The sequence below is a fragment of the Homo sapiens genome, chromosome 9 (genome assembly GCF_000001405.40).
Source record: "Homo sapiens chromosome 9, GRCh38.p14 Primary Assembly".
Classification (NCBI taxonomy): Eukaryota; Metazoa; Chordata; class Mammalia; order Primates; family Hominidae; genus Homo; species Homo sapiens.
The window spans coordinates 15413789-15439243 of record NC_000009.12 but is presented as its reverse complement, the minus strand read 5'-3'; the positions used below and the strand labels follow the sequence as shown (position 1 = coordinate 15439243).

Here is a 25455-nt window from a genome sequence, read left to right as displayed (position 1 = left end):
AGTCCAAGAGTTCAAGACCAGCCTGGGCAACACGGCAAAACGCCATCTCTACAAAAAATACAAAAACTTAACTCAGCATAGTGGCGCAAGTTTACAGTCCTGTCTACTTGGGAGGTGGAGGTGGGAAGATAACTTGAGCACAGGAGGTTGAGGCAGCAATGCGCAGTGATGGCGCCACCGCACTCCAGCCTGGGCAAGAGAGCAAGACCCTATCTCAAAAAACATAAGTAAAATAAAATATATGAAGCAAAAGCCAACAGAATTGAAGAAATAGACAGTTCTATGGTAATAGTTGGAGACTTTAATACCCCACTTTCAATAACGGGTAGAACAACTAGATAGAAGATCAATAAAGAAACAGGAGACTTGAACAACGAGAACAATTAGACCCAACAGATATACAAAGAACTCTCCAAACAACAGCTGAATACAGGTTCTTCTCAAGTGCATGTGAACCATTCTCCAGGATACACCAACAAATCTTAAATTAAAAAAAATTAAAGTAATAAACGTAACTCTTCTGATCATTAAGTGAATATTAGAAATCAATAACAGGAGAAAAATTGGAAAATTCACAAGTATGTGGAAATTTAACAACACTCGACAAAAATCACAGCATAGGAAACTTAGGGAGATATAGTAAAAAGAGTGATTTTAAAAAGTTATGGCTGTATAACTTTATATAAAAGAACAATCTCAATAACTAGATAAGGAATTAAGAATAAACTAAACCCAAAGCTAGCAAAAAAAATGAAAATTATAAAGATGAGTGGAGATAAGTGAAAAAGAATAGAAAATACAGAAAAATCAATAAAAACAAAAGCTGGTTCTTTGAAAACATCAAATTTGACAAACTTTTACTGCACTGACTGAGAAAAAAGAAGGCTCAAATTACTAAAATGAGAAGTAAAAGTGGAGACGTTACTACTGATTTTACAGGAAAAAAAGGATTAGAAGAGAAAACTATGAACTACTGTTTGCCAACAAATTGGATAACCTAGATGAAAAGGACAAATTCCTGGAAACATACAAACTATCAAAACTGATTCAAAATGAAATAAAAAATCTAAATAGACCTGTAACAAGTAAGGAGGTTGAATCAGCAATGAAAAACCTCCCAACAAAGAAAAGCCCAGAACCAGATGACTTCACTGGTAAATTCTACCAAACATTAAAAGAATTAATACCAGAGTTTCTCAAACTCTTTCACAAAATTTCAAAAGGAGTAAACACTTCCTAACACATTCTATGAGGCCAGCATTATCTTGATACCACAGTGAGACAAAGACACTACAGGAAAACTACAGGCCAATATCCCTTTATAAATAGGAATGCAATAATCTCAACAAAATACTAGCAAAGCAAATTCAGAAGCATATGAAAAGGCTTTTGTCAAATGTGTTTAATTTTTGTGAATTTTCCAACTTTTCTTCTGTTATTGATTTCTAATGTCATTCAGTTATGATAAGAAAAGGTACTTTTTATGATTACAATTTTTATTGAATCCCACAACCAAGTGGAATTTATTTATCCTCAAAATGCAAGGGTAATTTAACATTAGCAAGTCAATCAATATAATACACCACACTAATGGAATGATGGGGCAAAAAAAAAAAAAAAACAACAGATCATTACCTCGACTGACACAGAAAAGCATTTGACAAAATCTAACACCCTTTCATGATAAAAACACTAAAGAAAATAGGAACAGGGCCGGGTGCGGTGGCTCACGCCTGTAATCCCAGCAATTTGAGAGGCCAAGGTGGGTGGATCACCTGAGGTCAGGAGTTCAAGACCATCTTCACCAACATGGTGAAACTCTGTGTCTACTAAAAATACAAAAAGTAGCCAGGCATTGTGATGGGCGCCTGTAGTCCCAGCTACTCAGGAGGCTGAGGCATGAGAATCACTTGAACCCGGGAGGCGGAAGTTGCAGTGAGCCAAGATTGTGCCACTGCACTCAGCCTGGGTGACAGAACAAGACTGTCTCAAAAAAAAAAAGGAATTAAGAAAACAATTTCACTTACAATAGCATTCAAAAGAATAAAATATTTAGGGATAAATTTAACCAAGGAAGTGAAAGGGTTGTATACATAAAGAGTATAAAACACTGCTGATAGGCTGGGCACGGTGGCTCACGTCTGTAATCCCAGCATTTTGGGAGGCCGAGGCAGGCGGATCACCTGAGGCTGGGAGTTGGAGACCAGTTTGGCCAACACGGAGAAACCCCATCTATATTAAAAATACAAAAACTTAGCCGGGCATGGTGGCATGCACCTGTAATCCCAGCCACTCAGGAGGCTGAGGCAGGAGAATCGCTCGAACCCGGGAGGCGAAGGTTGCGGTGAGCCAAGATCGCACCATTGCACTCCAGCCTGGGCAACAAGAGCAAAACTTCGTCTCAAAAAAAAAAAAAAAAAAAACTGCTGTAAGAAATTAAATATCTAAATAAATGGAAAGAAATCTCATTCATGGATTGGAAGACTTGGTATCATTAAGATCTCAATACTCCCCCAAAGTAATCTACAGGTTCAATGCAATCCCTATCAAAATCCCAATGGCATTTTTTCCAAAAATAGAAACACCCATCCTAAAATTCATAGGGAATTTCAAGGGACTCTGAATAGTCAAAACAATCTTGAAAAACATGAACAAAGTTGGAGGACTCACACTCCCTGATTTCAAAATTTACTACAAAGCCAAAGTAATCAAAACAGTGTAGTTCTAGGTTAGAATCTAGACCGATAGAATGTAACAATGAAACTTATATGGTCAACTGACTTTGGACAAAAGGGCCAAGATCATTCACTAGGGAAAGGACAGTCTGCAAAAAATAGACAGCTATATGCAAAAGAATGAAATCAAACCCTTACCTTACATCATATATAAAAATCAACTCAAAGTGGATCAAAGACAAACTTATGAGCTAAAGCTATAAAACTCCTAGAAGAAAACATATGGGAAAATCTTCATGATGCTGCATCTGGCAATGTTTTAAGTATGACATCAAAAGCAAGGACAACAAAAGAAAAAGATAAACTAGACTTCATCAAATTTAAAAACTTTTGTACATCCAGCAACAGTATCAAGAAAGTAAAAAGGCTGACTGTGGTTGCCCACGCCTGTAATCCCAGCACTTTGGGAGACCGAGGCGCATGGATCACCTGAGGTCAGGAGTTCGAGACCATCCTAGCCAACATGGTGAAACCCCATCTCTACTAAAAATACAAAAATTAGCTGGGCATGGTGGCAGGCACCTGTAATCCCAGCCACTTGGGAGGCAGATGCAGAAGCATCACTTGAACCTGGGAGATGGAGGTTGCAGTGAGCTAAGATTGCTCCATTGTACTCTAGGTTGGGCAACAAGAGCAAAACTCTGTCTCAAAAAAAAAAAAAAAAGAAAGAAAAGTAAGTAAAAAGACAACATATAGAATGGGATAAAATATTTTTAAATTACTTATATGGTAAGGGTCTAGAATCCAGAATATACAAAGAACTCTTTTTTTTTTTTTTTTAGACAGAGTTTCACTCCTGTTGCCCAGGCTGGAATGCAATGGCACAATCTGGGCTCGCTGCAACCTCCACCTCCTGGGTTCTAGTGATTGTCCTGCCAGCCTCCAGAGTAGCTGGGATTACAGGCGCCTGCCACCACGCCCGGCTAATTTTTTTTTGAGACAGAGTCTCATTCTGTTGCTCAGGCTGGAGTGCAGTGGCATGATACTGGCTCACAGCAACCTCCACCTCCCAGGTTCAAGCAATTCTCCTGTTTCAGTCTCCCGAGTAGCTGGGATTACAGGGGGATGCCACCACGCCCGGCTAATTTTTGTATTTTTAGTAGAGACAGGGTTTCGCCATGTTGGTCAGGCTGGTCTGGAACTCCTGACCTCAGGTGATCCACCCACCTCGGCCTCCCAAAGTGCTGGGATTACAAGCGTTAGCCATGGCACCCGGCCAAGAACTCTTTATAACTCAACAGGATAAACAACCCAATTTGAAAATGGACAAAATATTTTAATAGATCTTTTTCAAAGAAAATATACAGATGGCCAAAAACCAAATAAAAAGATGTTCAGCATCACTAGTTATTAGGGAAATGCAAATCGAAACCACAATGAGATACTACTTCACACCCACAAGGATGGCTATTATTAAAAAAAAGCTAGAAAACACATGTTCACAAGTACATGGAGAAATTGGAACCTTCATGCATTACTGATGGGAATGTAATACGGTATCATTGCTATGAAAAACAGGTTTCTCAGAATTAACCATACAATCCATCAATTCCATTCCTAGGGGCAGACGCAAAATAAATGAAAAAGGACTTAAAAAGATATCTGTACACCAATTTTCATAGCAGCATTATTCGCAATAGCCAAAAGATAAAAGAACCCAAATGTCTATCAACGGATAAATAGAACAAAACGTGGTGTATACATACAATAGATAGTATTCAGCCATAAAAAGGAAGGAAGTTCTAATACACGTTACAATATGGATGAACCTATAAAACATTATGCTACGTAAAATATGCCATAGGCTGGGTGCTGTGGCTCACGACTGTAATCCCAGCACTTTGGGAGGCCGAAGTAGGCAGATTGCTTGAGGTCAAGGGTTCGAGACCAGCCTGGCCAACATGATGAAACCGTCTCTACTAAAAATACAAAAATGAGCCAGGCATGGTGGCAGGCACCTATAATCCCAGCTGCTTAAAAGGCTGAGGCAGGAGAATCGCTTGAACCCAGGAGGCGGAGACTGCAGTGAGCCGAGATGGCGCCACTGCACTCCAGCCTGGGCGACACAGCGAGACTCTGTTTCAAAAAAAAAAAAAAAAGCCATACAGAAAAGGACAAAAAAGCATTCCACTTACATGAGATATCTAGAATAGACAAATTCATAGAGAAAGAAGGTAGAATAGAGGTTAGCAGGGGCTGCAGGAGGGAAAACTGGTGAGTTATTGCTTAACAGGTATGGAATTTCTGTTTGGGATGATGAAAAAGTTCTGGAAATGGTGATGATTTACAGCATTGTGAATGTACTTATTGCCACTTAATTGAACACTTTAAAATGGTCAAAATGGTAAATTTTATGTTATGTAAATTTTACCACAATAAAAGTAAAATAAGTGGGAGAGACAATAGGTGCCCGTATGCATGATCAAGTGCCAGCACAGTGCCTAGCACATTGATTCTGAACCTATCGTGTCTACTAGCTCCTAATTCCTCAAGAGTCATCATCTTAAATTTTCCCAAAGTTTTACACAAGAGATAATAGATGAGGATTGAGAATGTGGTTAAACCAAAATCAGGAGCAGAACAAAAAGACCAGAAATAGGGTAGTGAAAAGGCATAAATTTAGCCTAATACCGAAAGCAAGATAAAACCAAACAAGAATAAAGGCAGAGATCTGAAAAAGTCAAACATGTGGTCACTTGAGTTCTAAGGGTCCTCTTCTCTCACTAGTTCCCAGACTCAAAGGAGTTTCTCTAGTTTGTTTTCAACTAAGCATATCCAGTATAAAGCTACCATACTGTCATTACTAACCCTCAGCCAATGTCGGTTTACTGTTTTAAGAGAAAAGGGTGAAAAAGATGAGACTCTTAATTACCATCTCATAAACGAATGTTTCTTGTCTGCAGGCTCGATCTATTGTAATGGTTTCTTCCCGATGTTCCAAGAACCTTTTTCTAACCCTGTTGTAGATGTAAAAGAAAAAAAAAAATCAAAGTTCAACATTTGTTATTCGGGCTTCAAAAACATATTTAACATTCAAGTTTTTTTATTTTGAACTAATTTTAAGTAGCAAAAGCAGGAAAAAGTTCCCTTCTATCTCTTGTTCAGCTTCCCTTATGTCAACATCTTACTTGATCATGAGACAATTAAGAACAGGAAATAAATTCTTACACAATATTATTAGCTATACGCCTTTTTAAAATTTCACACAATTTTTAATTTACTCGTTTTTTTTTTTTTCTGTTCCAGATTCCTATCCAGGATCCCACATGGCATCTGTTATTTTTCCTTAGTCTCCTTGAGTTTGTTAAAATACTTCAGTCTCTCCTTATCTTTCACGATCTTGACAATTTCAAAGAGCTCTAATCAGTTATTTTATAGAATGTCCTTCAATTTGGGTTTGACCGCTAGTTCCTCATGATAGGAATAAATTTAGCATTTTGGTAAGAATACTACAATGATGCCCTTCTCATTATATCATATCAAGATGTTCATGATATTAATATGACATCTTACTAGTGATGTTTAGCTTGTTTCTGTCTGCCAGGTTCCTGCACCAGAAAGACACCTTATTTTCTATGAACTTGGTAAATATTTTGGGGGAGATACTTTGACACTATGCAAATCTTGTTTCTCCTCAAACTTCACCCATGAATTTTAGCATTCACTGATAGATTATGTCTGCAACATTTATTACTGTGCTGTATGCCTAATAGCAATTCTGTCTTTACTTTCTTCTACATTTATTCATTGGATCTTCTACATTTATTCATTGGAATTATATTTTGAGGAAGACCTGCCTCTTTCCTCCCATCTGTTTATTTCATCATTTCTATTAGTATGAACCTACAGATAATTGTTTTATTCTGGGGTTAAAATCTAATACTATCACTATTTTGTTGTTCAAATTGGTACAGCTTTATCATTAGGAGCTCCCGTTCTTTCAGCAAGTCCTCTCCTTTTTAAAATTATTTTTTATTTTTTTAATATTCCCTTACTTTCCGGCACCACAAGATGCTCAAGGCCCATCCTATATTTTTCTTGTCTCGTCCCCGGAATCAACCACTTGTAAGAGCCCTAGTTCCTTTACTGGAAAAAGGTGTTTAGAGACCAGTATCTGGGTTCTAGGCGTTCTCATTGTTACTGGAGTCACTGCTTCTAGGCCTCTCAGCTGAGATAGGCAGGAAATATATGTATGTATACTAACCTATACATGTATAAATATCTGTATTTCTGTATTTTACTGTCATACATTTAAAACTATGAGTTTATACTGATACTTCTGATCCCAAACTAAAACCACAGGATTCATTTTAGCCTTTAACATTTCCTTGTTTATAACGTCTTTCTCCACAAGTGAGAAATCCAGCTTTCACTGTTGGCAACCTATGATTTGTTCAATTCTAGTAAATACATAAAATAGTTACAGAATTGCTAACCTATACCCCTGTGAGAAACACTAAATTATAAACAGTTCTGTCTTCACCTTTACATTATATCAAGATACGCTTTTGGTAGCATTTTATTATTTAAAAATCGGAACAATATATTTAAGATTAGCACGGCCCCTGTGCATGGATGATATGCAAATTCATGAAGTGCTCAAAAAAAAAAAAAAAAAAAAAAAGACAGGCTTTAATACAGACTTTAGTTCTTTCTTCCCCACCCTTTTCAGTGGTGTTATATTACACATCCGTAATACAACTAGCCTTATTTTTTAGTTTTTGAATTCAGTTTTGGGTTCCCCCTACATCCTAGTTGGTTTTAATTGTCTGATTACATTTGGGGTGTGTGAAAAATATGTGACACATTACTATGATCCTAAGAGTCAAAAGTGTCACTCCCTCTTTGTTCCTACTAACCTGTTCCCATTCCCTCCCTTCTTTCCACCCCTTTCCCACCCACCCCTGCAGGCAATCAGTCTCTATAGTTTTGGTTTGTCCTTTCCATTTCCTTTGTTCAAATAAACAGATATTTGTGTATACTCTGTTATCTCCTGTATCAATCTGAGTTCAATTAGGAAGAAAAAAAGAACAGCAATTTGAACAAAGGTTAAGGATTCAATAACTTTAACAGAGGATTGGAATAATGAGGGATTGGCAAGGAAGCAGTAAAAGGGAACACTGAAGTATAGAATAATAGCAAACAGAAGGAGCACCCTACCCCTAGGGCTGAGAAAGAGCGCAGGGAAGTCCTTTTTTCTTCCTGGACAGAGATCCAGACGAGCTGGAGAAAGAAGTTGCTATGGTACTGCATCAGTGGAACTTGCTGGAAATCCACCCTCAAGGGCACTAGGAAAACCTGTTCAGGGGAGCTGTGGAGGGAAATGGGGTTGGCAGGAAAGCTGCTGGGCGCGGGGTGCTTCAGACTGCAGTGTATTGCAGGAGCTGGGCACTGGGGAAGCTGTGTGCACTGCAGGATCCTGCTGAGCCAGCACATCAGATCAGGAAGCAAAACCTTTGAGACTCCTGAGAAGTCTCTCCATTGCCCTTCACTGACAAAGCTTAAGGATGTGCTAGTTGGCAAAAGAAAAGTATTTAAAAGGCCAAGGTCCATTTTTACAGAGCAGGAAAAAGAGGTAAATTTGAAGATGAGAGCCAATAAACTACACCTGGCACACCTTTCTTACATGAAAGGTGGCATATACTTTGGGACTTTGCTTTTTTCACTTAATAGAATGTACTGGAAATTACTCTGAATTAATCCTTCCTCATCCTTTATTCTAGCTGCAAAATATTACCGTGTGGATTTCCCATAGCGTATTCAACACTCTCCTCTCCTACGTCTGTATATTTAAGGTATTTCAAATATTTTGCAATTACAAACAATACTGCAAGGAATAACAAGCAGACAGAAACAAGCTAAACATCACTAGTAAGTATTGAACACATGTATTTTCATATTGTTGGAGGGGTACCTTTGGTATAAATTACTAGAAATGGGATTGCTCGGACAAAAAGTATTATTTTCCTCATTAATTTCTGTTATCTTTATTATTTCCTTTCTAGTATTTTCTTTTCACTTACTTTGTTGTTCTTTTTTTGTTTTCTGAGCTGGAAATTTATTTTCTTTTTGTTTTTTTGACAGGGTCTTTTTCTGTTGCCCAGGCTGGAGTGGAGTGGTAAAATCACGGCTCACTTCAGCCTCAATCTCCTAGGCTCAAGTGATCCTTCCACCCTGGCTTCCTGAGTAGCTGGGAGCACAGGTGTGTGCCACCACAGCTGGCTAATTGTTTTTATTTTTTGTAGATACAGGTTCTCCCTATCTTGCCGAGGCTGTTCTCAAACTCGAGGGCTCAAGCAATCCTTCCATCTTGGCCTCCCCAAGTGTTGAGAGTACAGGCATGAGCCACTGCACGCAACCTGTTAGTAATATTCTATGTTATGAATGTCATTGATGTTTCCTTTGTGACCTAATACATAATCAATTTTTGTGAACATGTCATACAGTTCTCATTAGCAGGGAGCAAATTTTATGTATACGTACCTCCATAAGATATAAATTAAAAAGTGTCCTTTATCACATGTAATACTTTGGGGCTTGAATACTATTTGTCTGATATCAGCATCACTACTCCTGCTTGATTTTTGTTTCCATTTACTTGGTATACTTTGGTCTAACCCTTTATTTTTAGCTTTTCGGAATCATTTTATTTTAGATGTGTCTCTTGTCATCCCAAGATTTTTGTTTTACAAGCCAAATTGAAAATCCTTTTTTAATAGGTTGCTTAAGACTAATGTATTTGGTCTCAACTCTATCACAATATTTTCTAATTATTTGTATTTTGTTGTAATAGCTGTTTTTCATTATGAAATGCATACCCTTCTTTTCCATTTAATTTTTAGAAATTGAGGGGGAGTTGATATTTCTATTATTGTTCTACTGGTTACCTTTCTACTCACATTTTTTAAATCCTAGAGTTACCCATTTTCTTATTTAACACTTTACTATCTGGTGTGTCAGGTTTTTTTTCCTCTGCAGTAGTCTTTAAAACCCATCTATTGCCCACACATTATCCATTTTTCTCCTTCCATCATTTTAGTTGCAATACTGTACTTTGTTGCAATACCCAACGGTTACACAAATCTTCCACCCTCATCCTCTCTGTATTAGTCCTTTTGCTGAAAATTTTCCAGTCATCAATTGGTTGGATAAAGCTCATTCTCTTGTATATTCCTCAGAAATGGCCAGCAGGTACAGAAATTACCCAGGTTTTCGTTATGTCGAAAACTCTTTTTCTATAACCTTGACATTTGAGAACATTCAGTTAGATATAAAATCCTTCAATTCACACCTTCATTGAGCTTTAAAAAAAAACACTGCTCTATGTTGCCTTGCTTTGTATGTCAGTTTTTCAACATGTGATGCTTTTTGTAAGTTTGCCTTTGTAAGTTATATGTTCTTTTTGCACAGAAGACTTGATGATTTCATCTTTATCTCTGAAATCTAATAGTTGTACTAAAATATATCCCAAAAGTCAATAAGTCTGGGTTAATTTTTCCAGGTACCTAGGGAACCCTTTCTAGATTTAGTTTTTTTTTCAATTTCTGGAAACTTTTGCTGGATTATGTTTTTAAACATGAATTATGTTCCATTTCTTTTTCTTCTTCAGGGACTCTGATAATATGAATATTATGTCTTTGCCTATCTACCTACCATTCCCTACTTTCTCGGATTCATCTTACTTTTTTCTTTGTCATTTTCAATTCTCTTCGTTGTTTTTATGCCTTTCTTCATTGCCTCTTGCTTTCATTTCAGTCTATTTTCCCTTAGGTATCTTACAATTTATTCACTTATGAGGTAATTGTCTTTTTCTTCCATTTCTTCCCTTTGTTTCATCAACTCTTTTTTCATTTCTCCTTTAGTCATCATTTCCATTCTTATTAATAGTTTTAAAAATTCTAAGCCAAGGTAAACATTTTTATACCCTCAAATGCTTATTTGAGTATATTCAATTCTGTTTGGAGTACAGACTTATAGGCTTTCTCTTTTTTTTTTTTTTTGAGACAGAGTCTCGCTGTGTCGCCCAGGCTGGAGTGCAGTGGCGTGATCTCGGCTCACTGCAAGCTCCGCCTCCCAGGTTCACGCCATTCTCCTGCCTCAGCCTCCCAAGTAGCTGGGACTACAGGCGCCCGCCACCACGACCGGCTAGACTTAACAGGCTTTACCTGTTTCCGAGTGGAACAGGTAGTCTCCAAAGTTGATCTGTATAAACAGTTATTTCCTGATTATCTGCAACAAGCTCTCGTTAGATTTTATTTCCTCTTGCTCATTTTTGTAACATCTGGGGCACAGTGATAGTTTACAAGATTCCCAGTTTGATGGTGCTCTTTTCTGTCATTCTAGCCAACTTCAGATATATGAGAGCTGTTTGACAGTTTTTTTTTTTTTTTTTTTTTTGGAGACAGAGTTGCGCTGTGTCACCCAGGCTGGAGTGCAATGGCGCGATCTCAGCTCACTGCAACCTCCACCTCCCGGGTTCAAGTGATTCTCTTGCCTCAGCCTCCCGAGTAGCTGGGACTACAGGCGGGTGCCACCACGCCCAGCTAATGTTTGTATTTTTAGTAGAGGTGGGGTTTCACCATATTGGCCAAGCTGCTGTTGAACTCCTGACCTCAAGCACTCCACCCTGTTTAAGTTTTTTTAAAAAATCATTTGTGGTTGGTTTGGTGGAATAGGAGTTTTGAGTTCTCCAATTTCATGGTTCTTTTGTTTTTTGTTTTTGCAGGACTCTGTAAGTTCCTTTTGTTAACCTTTAAACAGTACATCCTGGACCTGTAAACAGTGCTTTCTTGGTCACAAAAGTGAGGGGGATGGGCAGAATAATCTAAAATTTCTATTGTATTAAAAGTAATGTTGCTGAAGGGCTGGGCGTCGTGGCTCACGCCTGTAATACCAGCCCTTTGGGGCAAGGCCGGCAGATCACTTGAGGTCAGGAGTTTGAGACTAGCCTGGTCAAAATGGTGAAACCCCATCTCTACTAAAAATATAAAAAATTAGCCAGGCATGGTGGCACACGCCAGTAATCCCAGCTACTTGGGAGGCTGAGGCAGAAGAATCACTTGAGCCCAGGAGGCAGAAGTTGCAGTGAGGAGAGATTGAGCCACTGCACTCTAACCTGGGCAACAGAGTGAGTGAGACTCTGTCTAAAAATAAATAAATAAACAAATAAATAAGTGATGTTGCTGAAGCTTTTGGAATGACAAGTAAGTTTTAGCAGCACCCATGTATTAACAATTATCTCTCCTATTCCTAGGAATTAAAACCAACTAAGTAGTCAAAAAAAATGTCAAAACTGCCAAAGCTATGTAGTTTGCTATAGATTAAGGGAGCAACATGTATCAAGGAAGAATCAATATCTACCAACTACCTTTGGTCCCTTATATGCATAAAACGAGCTCTTTCATTTGATGTGGGAAAGAAAAAGTACCAGAAATTTATTTTATGTCATAATAAAGAAATGATGTACTTATGTTTTATTTTTATAATATAATAATGTGAAATTATTGGTGAGGAAAAGGAAGGTTCAGAGAAAGATAAAGCATAGAGATACAAATTTAGGCTTTTGCCACAAGTCTAATTTTTTTTTGGCAGGACCATTAAGGTTAACAATGGTCATGTATTAAATACACTAGCTTCACAGTATATCAAAATAACCCCAGTTGAAGAATACCGTACTGATTTACATTAGATTATATATAATTCTACCCACAAATCCTGTTTGGAGGGACTAGAAGAAACCAAAGAGATCTAGTTGACCTAGTAGTGCAAAGTAGTCAAGGGAAATAATGTTTAAGCAGTCTTAAAATTACTATTTAACATGGCTTAACAAAATTACTATAAATCAATGAATACATTATTAACTATAGCAAAAAAGAGTCTGCTTTAATATGATTATCATCAACGTTCTTTTTTCAGTCTATCTCTAAAAATCACTTCCTGAGTCTTCTGAAAGTTTCATTTATTCCACTCATTCTACAAATATTTGTTGGCTCCCTACTATGCACCACAGTTCTAGGAATTGGTAATATAGCAGTGAGTGTGGCAGATGTAACTTAAGGAACTTTCAAGTGTAGCTAAGAAGACAGAAAATTAAACACGTATATTACAGATGTGATGAGCATTTCAATAGGGAAGCATAGGGTGCTACATGAGCATACAAGATGACCTAAATGGAGTCCGTAGTCCTTTAGCTAAGACTTGCAGGATGAGTAGAAGTCAACAAGGTCAGGAGATAAGCAAGAATGACTGTTCTGGGCAAAGGCCTGGAGTGAGAGAGCATATTCGAGGAACTGAAACACAGTGCAGTGTGGCTGGAACACTGCAGAGAGAAAGCTTAAAAAAAATCAGCAAGGTCGGGCCAGGTGCGGTGGCTCATATCTGTAATCCCAACACTTTGGGAGGCCGAGGTGGGTGGATCACGAGAGGTTGGCCAACATGGAGCCTGACCAACATGGAGAAACTCCGTCCCTACTAAAAATACAAAATTAAGCGTGGTGGCACATGCCTGTAATCCCAGCTACTTGGGAGGCTGAGGCAGGAGAATCACTTGAACCTAGGAGGCGGAGGTTGCCGTGAGCCGGGATCGCACCATTGCACTCAGGCCTGGGCAACAAGAGTGAAATTCCATCTCAAAAACAAAACAAAATGAAAACAGCAAGGTCCACTCCTTAGAGGCCTTTGTGAGCCACTACAGACTCAGGACTTCAGCCTAAGGGACATCAAAAGGTTTTAGGCAAGGGAGTGACAATCAGATGTGCATTTTAGACAAATACAACTAATCAATCAACAATAGTTACAGAGCACCAATTGGAGCAAGGCAGTATAGTAGGCTTGAGAACAATACACAGATGGGAGTTTGGACTCTCATTGAGCCTTCAAGGACTTTAGAAATGTTAAGAGTTTAAGGCAGTATAAATGCATCTGTTTCCTAAGGGAAAGATGGGTTGTGGTAATCTGGAAAGGAATCTTTGGGCTTTTAAAAAAGTGGTATGGGCAAGGTGTGGCGGCTCACGCATGTAATCCTAGCACTTTGGGAGAACGAGTTGGGCAGATCACATGAGGTCAGGAGTTGAAACCAGCCTGGCCAACATGGTGAAACCCGTCTCTACAAAAAATGCAAAAAAGTTAGGCAGCCGAGGGTGCAGGCACCGGTAATCCCAGCTACTCCGGAGGCTGAGGCAGGAGAATCGCTTGAACCCGGAGGCAGAAGTTGCAGTGAGCAGAGATCACGCCACTGCACTCCAGCCTGGGCAACAGAGTGAGACTGCATCTCAAAAAAATAACGTAACATAACATAACATAGAAGTGGTATGTTTCAGATGGGAGAGAGGCCACATGCATCCTGAGCCATCTGAAAGAGAAAGTGGTTGAAAATAAATCTGGAAAGGCAAATTTGGGATATATGTGGAAGGCTTCAAATGTCTAGCTAAGGAGTTTGAAATTTTTCCATATAGGAGATGTAGGGCCATAGACCATTTTTAAGCAAAATGGCTTGCTCAGGCGACAGCATGATGGATAAATCAGTGGGAGAAATGACTGTACTTATCAAAGACACTTAAGAACCTTGCACAGTGCTCCAGGTGTTGCTGCTGTAAAAGTCAGCAGTAGGGACCAGGGGAACAGATTTAGCAGTTATTATGAAAGAAAACCCAAGTAGAGTTGAAATGACTGCCTGAATATTTGAGGGGGATAATAGCGTAGGATCAAGAACGACAGAACATAGCTGAGGTAGTATGAAATAAGTGGACTATAAATTGGAAATTATAAATTTCACTATTACATGCACAATTTCTCTATATTATCATACAACAGTGCCTCTCAAAGAGTGGTAGGCAGACCAGAATTCATCTATGACCTATTTGTTAACCAATCTGTACAGAAAATGACAGTAAGCATTTAGAAACTTCCATTATCATTGAATAATTTTGTCTATTGAATTTAATTAAAAATTTGAACTTATATTGTGTTTGTCTTTTTTAATTCCATTTTTCTAGTAATTCTTTTTATAGTATTTTATCAAAGCATAAATCTGTCAAAGATTAAAAATTTTTAAAAACAAGAACTGTCCTTTACCACAAATAGTTTGAAAAACACTGTCAGAGTATTTAGGTTGCCCCCCAGATCTAAGTAGATTACCTCTATAAACAAACATTCAAAAATATTAAAAAATAAACACAAGTTTGAATATGGACTGAATATTATAGATTATGTATTTACGGTTTTCTTAGGTATAATAATACCACAATAATTATGTAGGAGAATGATACTTTTAGAAGCTATATGCTTATGTATTTACGGGTAAATTATCATGTCTAACTTACTGAATGGGGGATAGCAAAATGAAAAAACACACAGCAGGCATCCCATACACACGGCTAAAGTAAATATGGTCAAATATTAAGAACAGCTGAATTTAAGGGGTGGGTATACAGACAACAATCAATACTGCACTTTCAACTTTTCAAAACATAATGTTGAAAAAATGTTTAAATAAATAGGTCATAAAAACCAAGTCCTCCATACCCCAAAGTCACCAGGTCAGTATTCTCCGGAATGACTTCTGGATCCTCACCGTCCTCAAGGCATTTCAGTTTATCAAGGCTAAAACAAAAAGGAAAAGCAATACTTTAAGGTCGACTCTGCATCTGGTTCACAGCGAGTTAGGGTTGTTTTCCTAAATACATTACTGAATTACGAAGTCAGATAAAATCCAGCAGGCGGCTCAGAGAGGCCAGAACTTAAGACAACGATTTCTGTGATTATATTTTATAATGAAAAGGCCGATGAAGGCAGCCAGTACTGTTAAATGGAGAAAGAGATTAAAGTTATTTTTATATTTTCATCCCCAAATAAGGCACTTTTAAGAAATATTTCAGTAACAGAATACCCGGAAGGTCCCCAAAAGAAACCAGTTAGTCGGGGTTTTAACACTCCTCTGATGAAGTCTCCCGCAGCTTCACCATTACTCAGGTTCCTCCATTGTCAAAGTGTCTGTCAATGGCAGGTACACGTCGCTGTTGCCCTGATTGCTTTTCTTTATTAACAAGCACTCTTAGAATAAGCAAATGGAAAAACTAGTCTTTGATGCAGCTGTCTTGTCCCTTTGCTCCAACTCGTAGAAACTGTGCATTCGGGTCCCAGGACTTCTCCTGGTGTCCCAGGAAGGCTCCAGCGGGTTGAAAGCTTTAAAGGGTAATACTCCTAGCCCAGGTCTAAACCACAGGCCCTTCTCAGGGATGAGTCCCAGAGGAGCGCACGAGCAAGGCTGCACCCTGTTTGACCCCAAGCTGCAAGAGCCCCTTTGCTCCGCACTCACCCGCACACCGCCCTCAGCTCAGCCGCCGCCTCCAGGCTGCAGTCCAGATCCCTGGCCACCGCGGCATCCTCCCGGTCGGAGTCAGCTGCCTGGCTCCCAGGCAGAGCGGATGCCGGCGGCTCCCTCAGCGACAAGTCCCCGGCCCCGCGCAGACGGCCCCGCCACAGCTCCCCAAAGGCGCCCACATGGAAAGCGCGCGTATTTAGCTCGGGAAGCTCATACTCTGGAAAGTTGCAGCCGCCACTGCCGGAGACTGGGTCCTGCCTGCCACCCACCCCGCTACACGTAGGGCCACCTCGGCTTCCTTCAGCCATGTTCGCCCCACTCCTTCCCCTGCAAAAGCCTGCAGATCAAGGCCTCGCAGAGCGTGATGGAAGTTGTAGTTGCTTGGGGCGCCCGGCCGGCGAGCGGCGAGGCGGCGCGGGCAGGGCATCAGAAACTACATTTCCCGGCAGGCCATGGGCAGGCCCGCCCCAGGGCGCGGCACCGCGAGGCTCTACGTGCAGGGCGCAGCATTGTTCTCCGACCCGGGCGGTGCGGGAACCGTTGCGGCTGTCGGTTAACCGCAGCGGGTGGGGCTGGGTTTCTGGTCCCCGAGTTACGTAGCAACTGTCTCTGCCCGGTAGGGCGGCCTCGCCAGGCGCTTAGGCCCCGTTCCTTGCGGCTTTCGGACTAAGGGGTGCAGGGCTTTTTCTTGACTGGGGTTCAAGGACTGCTCTGCTGCCTGATTGCTTTAGAGCCTAAGAAACAAGGAGGGCGAGGGCCGAGACCAGGGACACGACCAGCCCTCCAGATCTGGTTCTTTCACAAGCTCCGCAGAGGCCCCATGTTGGTGTGCGTGTGCAGTAGTGTTTCAGAGCGTCTGTGTATCACACGCTACATGATTAACCCTAATGTATGTTTTTAATGTTTTTAAAAATTACAACAACCTTTCCGGATAGGGCGTATCACCCCGTGTTGCTGTTGAGGAAGGATTTACCTGCGGGGAAAATAGAAGCAGGATCGGAACTCAGTCTGGCTTCAGATGGAGCTCTCTCCATTTCTCAGAGGCCCTGAAGGATACAGCAGGACATACTATTTATTTATTAGACTGTAATCACATGCCATATAATTCACCCATTTGAAGTGTTCAGTGATTTTTGGTATATTCACAGGCTTGGGCAACCATCACCACTATTTGAGAGCATTTTTACCACTCGAAAGAAGAAACTTGTACTTTTTAGCTATCACCCCTGATCCTCCCAACTCCTCCAGCCCTAGCCAACCAAGAACCTACTTTGTCTCTCTAGATTTAACTAATCTGGACATTTAATATAAACGGAATTATATGGTCTTTTGGTGGCTGGCTTAATGTTTACAAGGTTTGTTACAGGTAGTTAGGCATGAGCAGGGCAGGAGAGGGCTCTTCCCTCACCCACTAGGAATGTGGGGTGATGCTTAGGCATTTATCACATTGCCTCTAAAAGTGATAAATTGGCAGCCGGTGCCAGGGAGAGGCCATTTCCTGATGGCCCACACCTGTTGCACTAAAGTGCTCGTTGAATGCAGGTGACAGGGAGAAGCAACTTCCTGGGCATATGCATTAAGAGACAAAATCGGGGAGTATGACCTTTCAGGGGGACTCTATCGGAAAAGGGAAGAAAGCCTCAGATGGGCACGCATACAACTTCATACATATTGCGCTGTGCTCACTTCCCAAGGGTAAGGAGGGCACTGCGCATGGAGGCAGCCCACCCTAAGGGAAGAATCATGGGAAAGGAGCCAGCCTGTAAAGTCCTAGGATCGAGGTCAATATCACAGTTGACCTCAGTGACAGCTTGGGACTCTTCCGAGCGTGCTTTCCTTTCTTTCCTAAAGGCCTTTTAAATAAGCTTCCACTCCTGCTCTGAAACTTGCCTCAGTCTCTTTTTGTGCCTTATTGCCCCTCGGTCAAATTCTTTCTTCTGAGGAGGCAAGAACTGAAGTTGCTGCAGACCCATACAGATTTGCCCTGGTAACTTGGATACCTGCCACCTGTAACACGTTCATCCATTTTGTAGTATGTGTCAGTACTTCATTCCTTTTTTGGCTGAATAATATTGCATTGTATGTATATGCCACATTTTATTTATCAAAAAGTTTTTACCTTTTGGCGTTGCTATGAACATTCATGTACACATTTTTGTGCAAATACGTTTTCATTTCTCTTGGGCATGTGCCCAGTAGTATACAGTCAGCCCTCCCTATCTGTGGGTTCTGCATCCTCCAATTCAACCAACCACATATCAAAAATTACAGTATTCCCAGGTTGCAGAACCTGAGGATAAGAGGAATTTTCCTATGGGCGGATTCCACAGGGCTGACTGCAAGAAGAGCATCTGTCAATTTTGGAGTCCACAGGGGTCTTCGAAACAGTCCACCCTGCAGATACCAAGGGATTTCTGTATTTATGGAACTCTATTTTCAACTATTTGAGGAACTGCCAGATTTTTTTAAAGTGGCTGTCCCATTTTACTCCCCTCCCCAGCAGGATTCTCCACATCCTTGCCAACACTTATCTGAACTTTTTATTATAACCGTGTCAGTGAGTGTGAAATGGTGTTTCATGACTTTTTATTTGCATCTCCCTAATTATATTGATGGAACACGTTTTCATGTGCTTATTGACCATTTGCATATTTCTTTGGGGAAATGTATATTCAAGTTCTTTACCAATTTTTAAATAAAGTTATTGTGTTTCCATAGGAGCTCTGGTTTTTTTTTTCTTTCTTTTTTTTTTTTTTTTTTTTTGTTTTGAGACAGAGTTTCCCTCTTATTGCCCAGGCTGGAGTGCAATGGTGCGATCTTGGCTCACCGCAACCTCTACCTCCTGGGTTGGAGCGATTCTCCTGTCTCACCCTCCTGAGTAGCTGGGATTACAGGTGCATTCCACCACACCTGACTAATTTTTTTGTATTTTTAGTAGAGATGGGATTTCATCATATTGGTCAGGCTGGTCTAGAACTCCTGACCTCAGGTGATCCGCCCACCTCTGCCTCCCAAAGTGCTGGGATTACAGGCGTGAGCCACTGCGCCCGGCCTTCTGGTTGTTTTGTTGTTGTTTGTTTGTTTGAGATAGTGTCTTGCTTTGTCACCCAGACTGGAGTGCACTGGCACAATCAAGGCTCACCGCAGCGTGTCAGGCCTCTGAGCCCAAGCTTAGCCATTATATCCCCTGTGACCTGCACATATACATCTAGATGGCCTGAAGCAACTGAAGAACCACAAAAGATGACATTCCACCATTGTGATCTGTTCCTGCCCCACCCTAACTGATCAATTGACCGTATGACAATACACCCTCCCCGCCCTTGCGATAACGTACTTTGTAATATTCTCCCTGCCCTTGAGAATGTACGTTGTGAGATCCACCCCCTGCCCACAAAAAAATTGCTCCTAACTCCACCGCTTATCCCAAACGTATAAGAACTAATGATAGGCTGGGTGCCGTGGCTCACGCCTATAATCCCAGCACTTTGGGAGGCCGAGGCAGGAGGATCACAAGATCAGGAGTTCGAGACCAGCCTGGCCAATATGGTGAAACCCCTTCTCTACTAAAAATACAAAAATTAGCTGGGCGTGGTGGCAGGTGCCTGTAGTTCCAGCTACTTGGGAGGCTGAGGCAGGAGAATCGCTTGAACCTGGGAGGCAGAGGTTGCAGTGAGCTGAGATTGCGCCATTGCACTGTAGCCTGGGCGACAAAGTGAGACTCCGTCTCAAAAAAAAAAAAAAGAAAAAACTAATGATAATTCCATACCCTTTGCTGACTCTCTTTTCAGACTCAGCCCGCCTGCACCCAGCTTTATTGCTCACACAAAGCCTGTTTGGTAGTCTCTTCACACTGACGCGTGTGACACAGCGTAGACCTCCCAGGCTCAGGTGATCCTCCCATCTTAATCTCCTGAGTAGCTGGGACTACAGGTACGCTGTCATCACATCCAGTTAATTTTTTTATTTTTTTAGAGAAGAGGTTTCACCATGTTGCCCAGGCTGGTCTTGAACTCCTGGGCTCAAGTTATCCTCCTGCCTTGGCCTCCCAAAGTGCTGGGATTACAGGTATGAGCCACCATGCCCAGCTGGAGCCCTGGTTTTTATCAGTACATTGTTGTAGGAAATATCTATCGTTTTTGTCAGCCTAGTATTGTTTATTAGAGCTGACCTTCCCTACTACTTTTGATCCTCCTGGGGCTGCCAGTCATAGAACCATTCCCAATCTGGCCACAGTGGTTGGTCCAAGGATGATCAAGTGTCTCAAATAGAGCCAATCGGAATCCTCCTGTGGGGTTTTATCTATAAACCAAGAAGCCCTTTATCCATTCTAAGGACCTAATAATGTGTCCTAGACACAGACCGTTCCTGCCAGTGGAAGAGTTAGAAGGAACAGAGGCAAGAGTTTGAACAAGCAAAGGCAGAAAATGGAGAAGATAGAAGTCAAGTGACTTGGAGCTACTGGGGCTGAGGCCATCTGCTCTCCTGTATTTGCCATTATGTAAAGGAGGCAAAATTTTACCTCTACTCTCTTAGGATTTTTCAGCTGGGCCTGAGAATTAAATTGACATAAGATGGAGCAACAGGAGAAAAACATGCAAATTAATTTCATACAAGTGTTATGTGGCATAGGATCCTTCATAAGGAAATGAAGACCCAAAGAAACAGTTACAATTGAACACTTATAAACTGAATTGGATAAAGAGTTAGTGAATTATGAAAATGTGACAAGGCAAAGCATACAAGGATAGGGTAGTTAATTGAGTGGAGAAGTGACTAGAAAGCTAAGAGTTAGTTTAACAAGGTTGGTTTGTACAGATTTCCCTTAGCCTCAACTTCCTGTCCTTGATGATAAGAATGATGTTTTCCTTCTGGGTATAGGGAGGACACCTTTCACATGGGAATTTCATCTCCTGCTTTTAAGAAACAGAAGAAAAGTCAGAGTGAACTCCTTGCACCTGCTGTTTCCCAAGTGATACGGCTCAGATGAGTGGAGGAACACGAGGGTTCTTGGTCCTCGTGCCGGCAACATGGACACACATGGAGTGGTTTTAAGGAGCGGAGAGTTTAATAGGCAAGGAAGGGAGGAGACAGAAGGAAGAAGGTCCCCAGTAGAGACAGGGGGAGGGGGGCTCCAAAGCCAAAAGAGGAGGTCCCCACCTGCCACGGATACCAGCCAGGTATATATGCAGAGGCTGGAGAAGGCAATATCTGATTTGCATAGGGCTCAGGGGATTGGTTTGACCAGGCATGTCATTCACGTAGCCCTCAGAAAAAGCTGGCCCTCTCATCCTAGCCTTTTAAGATGCAAATGCAGGGCACTCTGAATGTTCTACACATGTGGAGATATGTGGGGCAGCCATGTTGCCAGGAACATGTGGGGCAAGGGCAAGAAGGCCGCAGGAATCACCATGTTGGGTGGACCCAGTTTCTAATGCCCTGCATTTGCATATCAAAGGTTGCCGGCCTGGCTCTAAGAGCCGGGGCTTTACAAGAAATTTTTCCGGAGATGCTTTAAAAACCAAAACTCCCCAAGGGCCCCTTTTCCTCTCTATCTGCCTACAGTAATTTCTTAATAACTCTCGGCCAGGCGCAGTGGCTCACGCCTGTAATCCCAGCACTTTGGGAGGCTGAGGCGGGTGGATCATGAGGTCAGTGGTTCGAGACCAGCCTGACCAACACGGTGAAACCACGTCTCTACTAAAAATACAAAAATTAGCTGGGCCTGGTGGCAGGCGCCTGTAATCCCAGCTACTCAGGAGGCTGAGGCAGGAGAATTGCTTGAACCCGGGAGGTCGAGGTTGCAGTGAGCCGAGATCGCGCCACTGCACTCCAGCCTGGGCGACAGAGCGAGATTCTGTCTCAAAATAATAATAATAATAAATTGTAAAAAATAATAACTCCTACCACACAAGTGCCTTTAACTGAAAATAGTATGCCACTACTTTGGGGTGGCATATTCTTAACTCCTTCATTAGTAACTTTTTATTTATTTTTTAAATCTTAAGATAGTTTGAGTTGGATTCTCTTGCAACCTAAAATCTTGGGTCCTGAAATACTTGACCCAAATTCCTCAACAGGGGGCACCCTCACTCCAGAGAATGAGGTCATCTTTCAGGTAGAACTGGTCTAACATATTATCTGGCGATTTAGTAGCATTCGCTTCAGGAGTGGTGACCACATAGGTTCCTGGGCAGCAGTGGGTAAGGGCAGGATCAGAATGGCTGTAACCAAGGGAGGTGGTTCATTGTCACCCTGAGGAGTAGCACTTGGGAGCAGCAGCTTCAGAGGTGGGAATTGCAGGGATCAGTGGGGAAAGAAGAATTCATGGTGAGCATCAGCAGCAGTCACAACAACATGGCAGTCATTTGGGTCTTAGCCTCCATGTAACGCCCCTTCCTGGAAGCAACCATAATCATATTAGCAGCTGCCCTCGTTGGGATAAAGTCATGGCAAAGGCAACTTCTAGCTCAGTGGCAAATTTGGCAAAAGATGGGGGTGTTGTAGGCCTGGCACTAGTAATAGCAGCAAAGAAGTGGAAAGATTCCAAGGTCCTGGGATAAGTATAGTCCCTAAAATTCTGGATGAGCTTTCTATAATTCTTGGGGGAAAAACCCCTATTTTTTTCTGATTATGGTTATTGGACCCAACCACTAGGTTGGGGTAGTGGTGTAGAATTTAGAATCAGGAATACTGAGTAGTGGCTCAAACCAAGATGATTATGGAGTGTTATCTGGCTCTTGATTTCCCAACTCTGCTTATTGAAGAAAATATTAAAAACTGGGGAGTAGGAAAAGGGGCCACGAACTCTTACAGTTGGCCTCTGAACCAGCTTCCTCACCTGAGATACTTATATGGGCTCCACAGGTGATGAAAATGAGAAACACTGGCTGGTGGGGACTGTGGGAAACTGGGGAGTACTCTATCCTCTGTCTAACGGGGGCAGCTGTGATGGTGCCACGTGAGAATGCGGGCCTCGCCTACCAGAGTTTTCAGAATTTCAAAAGATCCCCGAGTTAAACCATAGAGGTCTGAAAAAAAAAGAATTTCAAAAGAAGCCAGATAGCCAATTTGTTGAAGTGTGAAATCTCTTGATCTTAAAATGTTGGCAATTAATTAATAAAAAATTTAAACACAGTATTTCCTTCCAGGCTAGTCTGAGCAACATAGTGAAGCTGTGTCTCTAAAAAAAAAAAAAAAAAAATTAAAACAATAGGCCAGGCACAGTGGCTCACACCTGTAATCCCAGCACCTTGGGCAGGCAAAGGTGGGTGGATCACCTGAGGTCAGGAGTTCGAGACAAGCCTGGCCAAAATGGCAAAACCCCGTCTCTACTAAAAATACAAAAATTAACCAGGTGTGGTGGTGCATACCTGTAATCTCAGCTACTCGGAAGGCTGAGGCAAGAGAATCACTTGAACCTGGGAGGTAGAGTTTGCGGTGAGCCGAGATCATGCCAATGCACCCCAGCCTGGGTGACAGAGCGAGACTGCATCTCAAAATAAATAAATTAATAAATTAATTAATTAAAAAAAACAACGTTATGCAGTATTCAAGCCAAACACAACTCACAGGCATCTGGTGTTTGTGATCGCTGATCCGTACTGTGATTTCTGAACTATTATATCTCTAAAATCCATCCAGCTCCCAATTTATGCAATTCTACATGTAAAATTATTTCAGTTTGTTTTCCAAAGTAATTCTGCCACTGCCCTAGGGCCTTCCTTCTTGTAATAAGGCTATAGGTACCTGGGAGCCTCACCGGGATTGAGGTCATGTGTGTATCCCACCATTTCAATGTTGGCTATCCAAGTTGTATTTCCAGCTAGTTTCCCCTACTGTCTAAATCTTTCTTATAGATACATCATTTATTTTATTATTCTCTGGCTTCAGTTTCTTTTTCTCTGAGTGTAGAATTGGTCTAGTTTTTTTTTGTTTTTTTTTTTTTTTTTTGAGATGGAGTCTCACTCCTGTTGCCCAGGCTGGAGTGCAATGGCACGATCTTGGCTCATTACAACCTCTGCCTCCCGGGTTCAAGCGATTCTCCTGCCTCGGCCCCCCGAGTAGCTGGGATTACAGACATGTGCCACCATGCCTGGCTAATTTTTGTATTTTTAGTAGAGATGGGGTTTCTCCATGTTGGTCAGGCTGGTCGCAAACTCCCAACCTTGATCCGCCCACCTCGGCCTCTCAAAGTGCTGGGATTACAGGCGTGAGCCACCGCGCCCGGCCTGGTCTAGATTTATAAAAATTATTTTTACCAGCTCGGGCAGCATGGCATTTAGTATTTTTCTACTAAAAGTACAGAAAATTTGCCTGGTGTGGTGGTGCATGCCCGTAGTCCCAGCTACTCAGGAAGCTGAGGTGGAAGGATCGCTTGAGTCTGGGTGACAGAGCCAAGATTGCACCACTGCACTCCAGCCTGGGTGACAGAGAGAGACTGTCTCAAAAAGAATTAAAAAAATAAAAAATAAAAAAAATAAGGCCAGGCCCAGTGGCTCATGCCTGTAATCCCAGCACTTTGGGAGGCCGTGGTGGGCAGATCACAAGGTCAGGAGATCGAGACCATCCTGGCTAACACGGCAACACCCCATCTCTACTAAAAATACAAAAATTAGCTGGGCATGGTGGCACATGCCTGTAATCCCAGCTACTCAGGCATGGTGGCAGGCGCCTGTAGTTCCAGCTACTCAGGAGGCTGAGGCAGGAGAATGGCATGAACCTGGGAGGCGGAACTTGCAGTGAACTGAGATAGCGCCACTATGCTCCAGCCGTTGAGACGGAGTCTCGCTCTGTTGCCCAGGCTGGAGTGCAGTGGCGCGATCTCGGCTCACTGCAAGCTCCGCCTCCTGGGTTCAAGCGTGCATCACCACACCCAGCTAATTTTCATAGTTTTAGTAGGGACAGGGTTTCACCATGTTGGCCAAGATGGTCTTGATGTCTTGACCTCGTGATCCACCCGCCTTGGCCTCCCAAAGTGCTGCTATTACAGGCGTGAACCACCATGCCTGGCCAAAGATACCAAGGTATACAGGTATACAGGCAACAAATATCATGATGACTGGAATGGTACCTCCCATCTCAATAGTAACATTAAATGTAAATGGCCTAAATGCTCCACTTAAAAGATATAGAATTAGACTGGGCGCGGTGGCTCACGCCTGTAATCCCAGCACTTTGGGAGGCCAAGGAGGGCGGATCATGAGGTCAGGAGATCAAGACCATCCTGGCTAACATGGTGAAACCCCGTCTCTACTAAAAGTACAAAAATTAGCCAGGCATGGTGGCAGGCACCTGTAGTCCCAGCTACTCTGGAGGCTGAGGCAGGAGAATGGTGTGAACCTGGGAGGTGGAGCTTGCAGTGAGCTGAGATCGCACCACTGCACTCCAGCCTGGGCA

At 41.9% G+C, this 25455-nt stretch overlaps 1 protein-coding gene and 1 pseudogene across 25 annotated transcripts in view, besides 3 other annotated features; one reads left to right on the top strand and one right to left on the bottom strand.

Annotated features, from left to right (window-relative positions):
- SNAPC3 (small nuclear RNA activating complex polypeptide 3) overlaps positions 1-16368 on the bottom strand; it is a 43860-nt gene extending 27492 nt beyond the window's left edge. For 24 of the 25 annotated variants that reach the window (NR_161447.2, NR_161438.2, NR_161450.2 and 21 more), the window contains exons 1-3: positions 16051-16368; positions 15258-15335; positions 5608-5692 (exon numbers count right to left, since the gene is read on the bottom strand). Coding sequence is in view for 7 of the 25 variants with exons in the window: in XM_017015056.3 (XP_016870545.1) it covers positions 5608-5692; positions 15258-15335; positions 16051-16364 (477 nt within the window). In the remaining 18 variants the exon portion in view is untranslated. The remainder of the gene's footprint in view (positions 1-5607; positions 5693-15257; positions 15336-16050) is intronic. The other variant, NR_161434.2, reaches the window with a different exon arrangement.
- Positions 7238-7345, top strand: RNU6-319P (RNA, U6 small nuclear 319, pseudogene; annotated as a pseudogene).
- Positions 15892-16011: an enhancer, noted in NCBI's record as "active region_28214". NCBI's record gives its function as "activates an Ori minimal core promoter by ATAC-STARR-seq in GM12878 lymphoblastoid cells {active_cell/tissue: GM12878}" and the evidence as "EXISTENCE:reporter gene assay evidence [ECO:0000049][PMID:35858748]".
- Positions 16352-16641: a silencer, noted in NCBI's record as "silent region_19780". NCBI's record gives its function as "represses an Ori minimal core promoter by ATAC-STARR-seq in GM12878 lymphoblastoid cells {active_cell/tissue: GM12878}" and the evidence as "EXISTENCE:reporter gene assay evidence [ECO:0000049][PMID:35858748]".
- Positions 19822-20322: an enhancer, noted in NCBI's record as "H3K27ac hESC enhancer chr9:15418920-15419420 (GRCh37/hg19 assembly coordinates)". NCBI's record gives its function as "activates a minimal SCP1, AML or CMV promoter by ChIP-STARR-seq in primed H9 embryonic stem cells {active_cell/tissue: H9 hESC(primed)}" and the evidence as "EXISTENCE:reporter gene assay evidence [ECO:0000049][PMID:30033119]".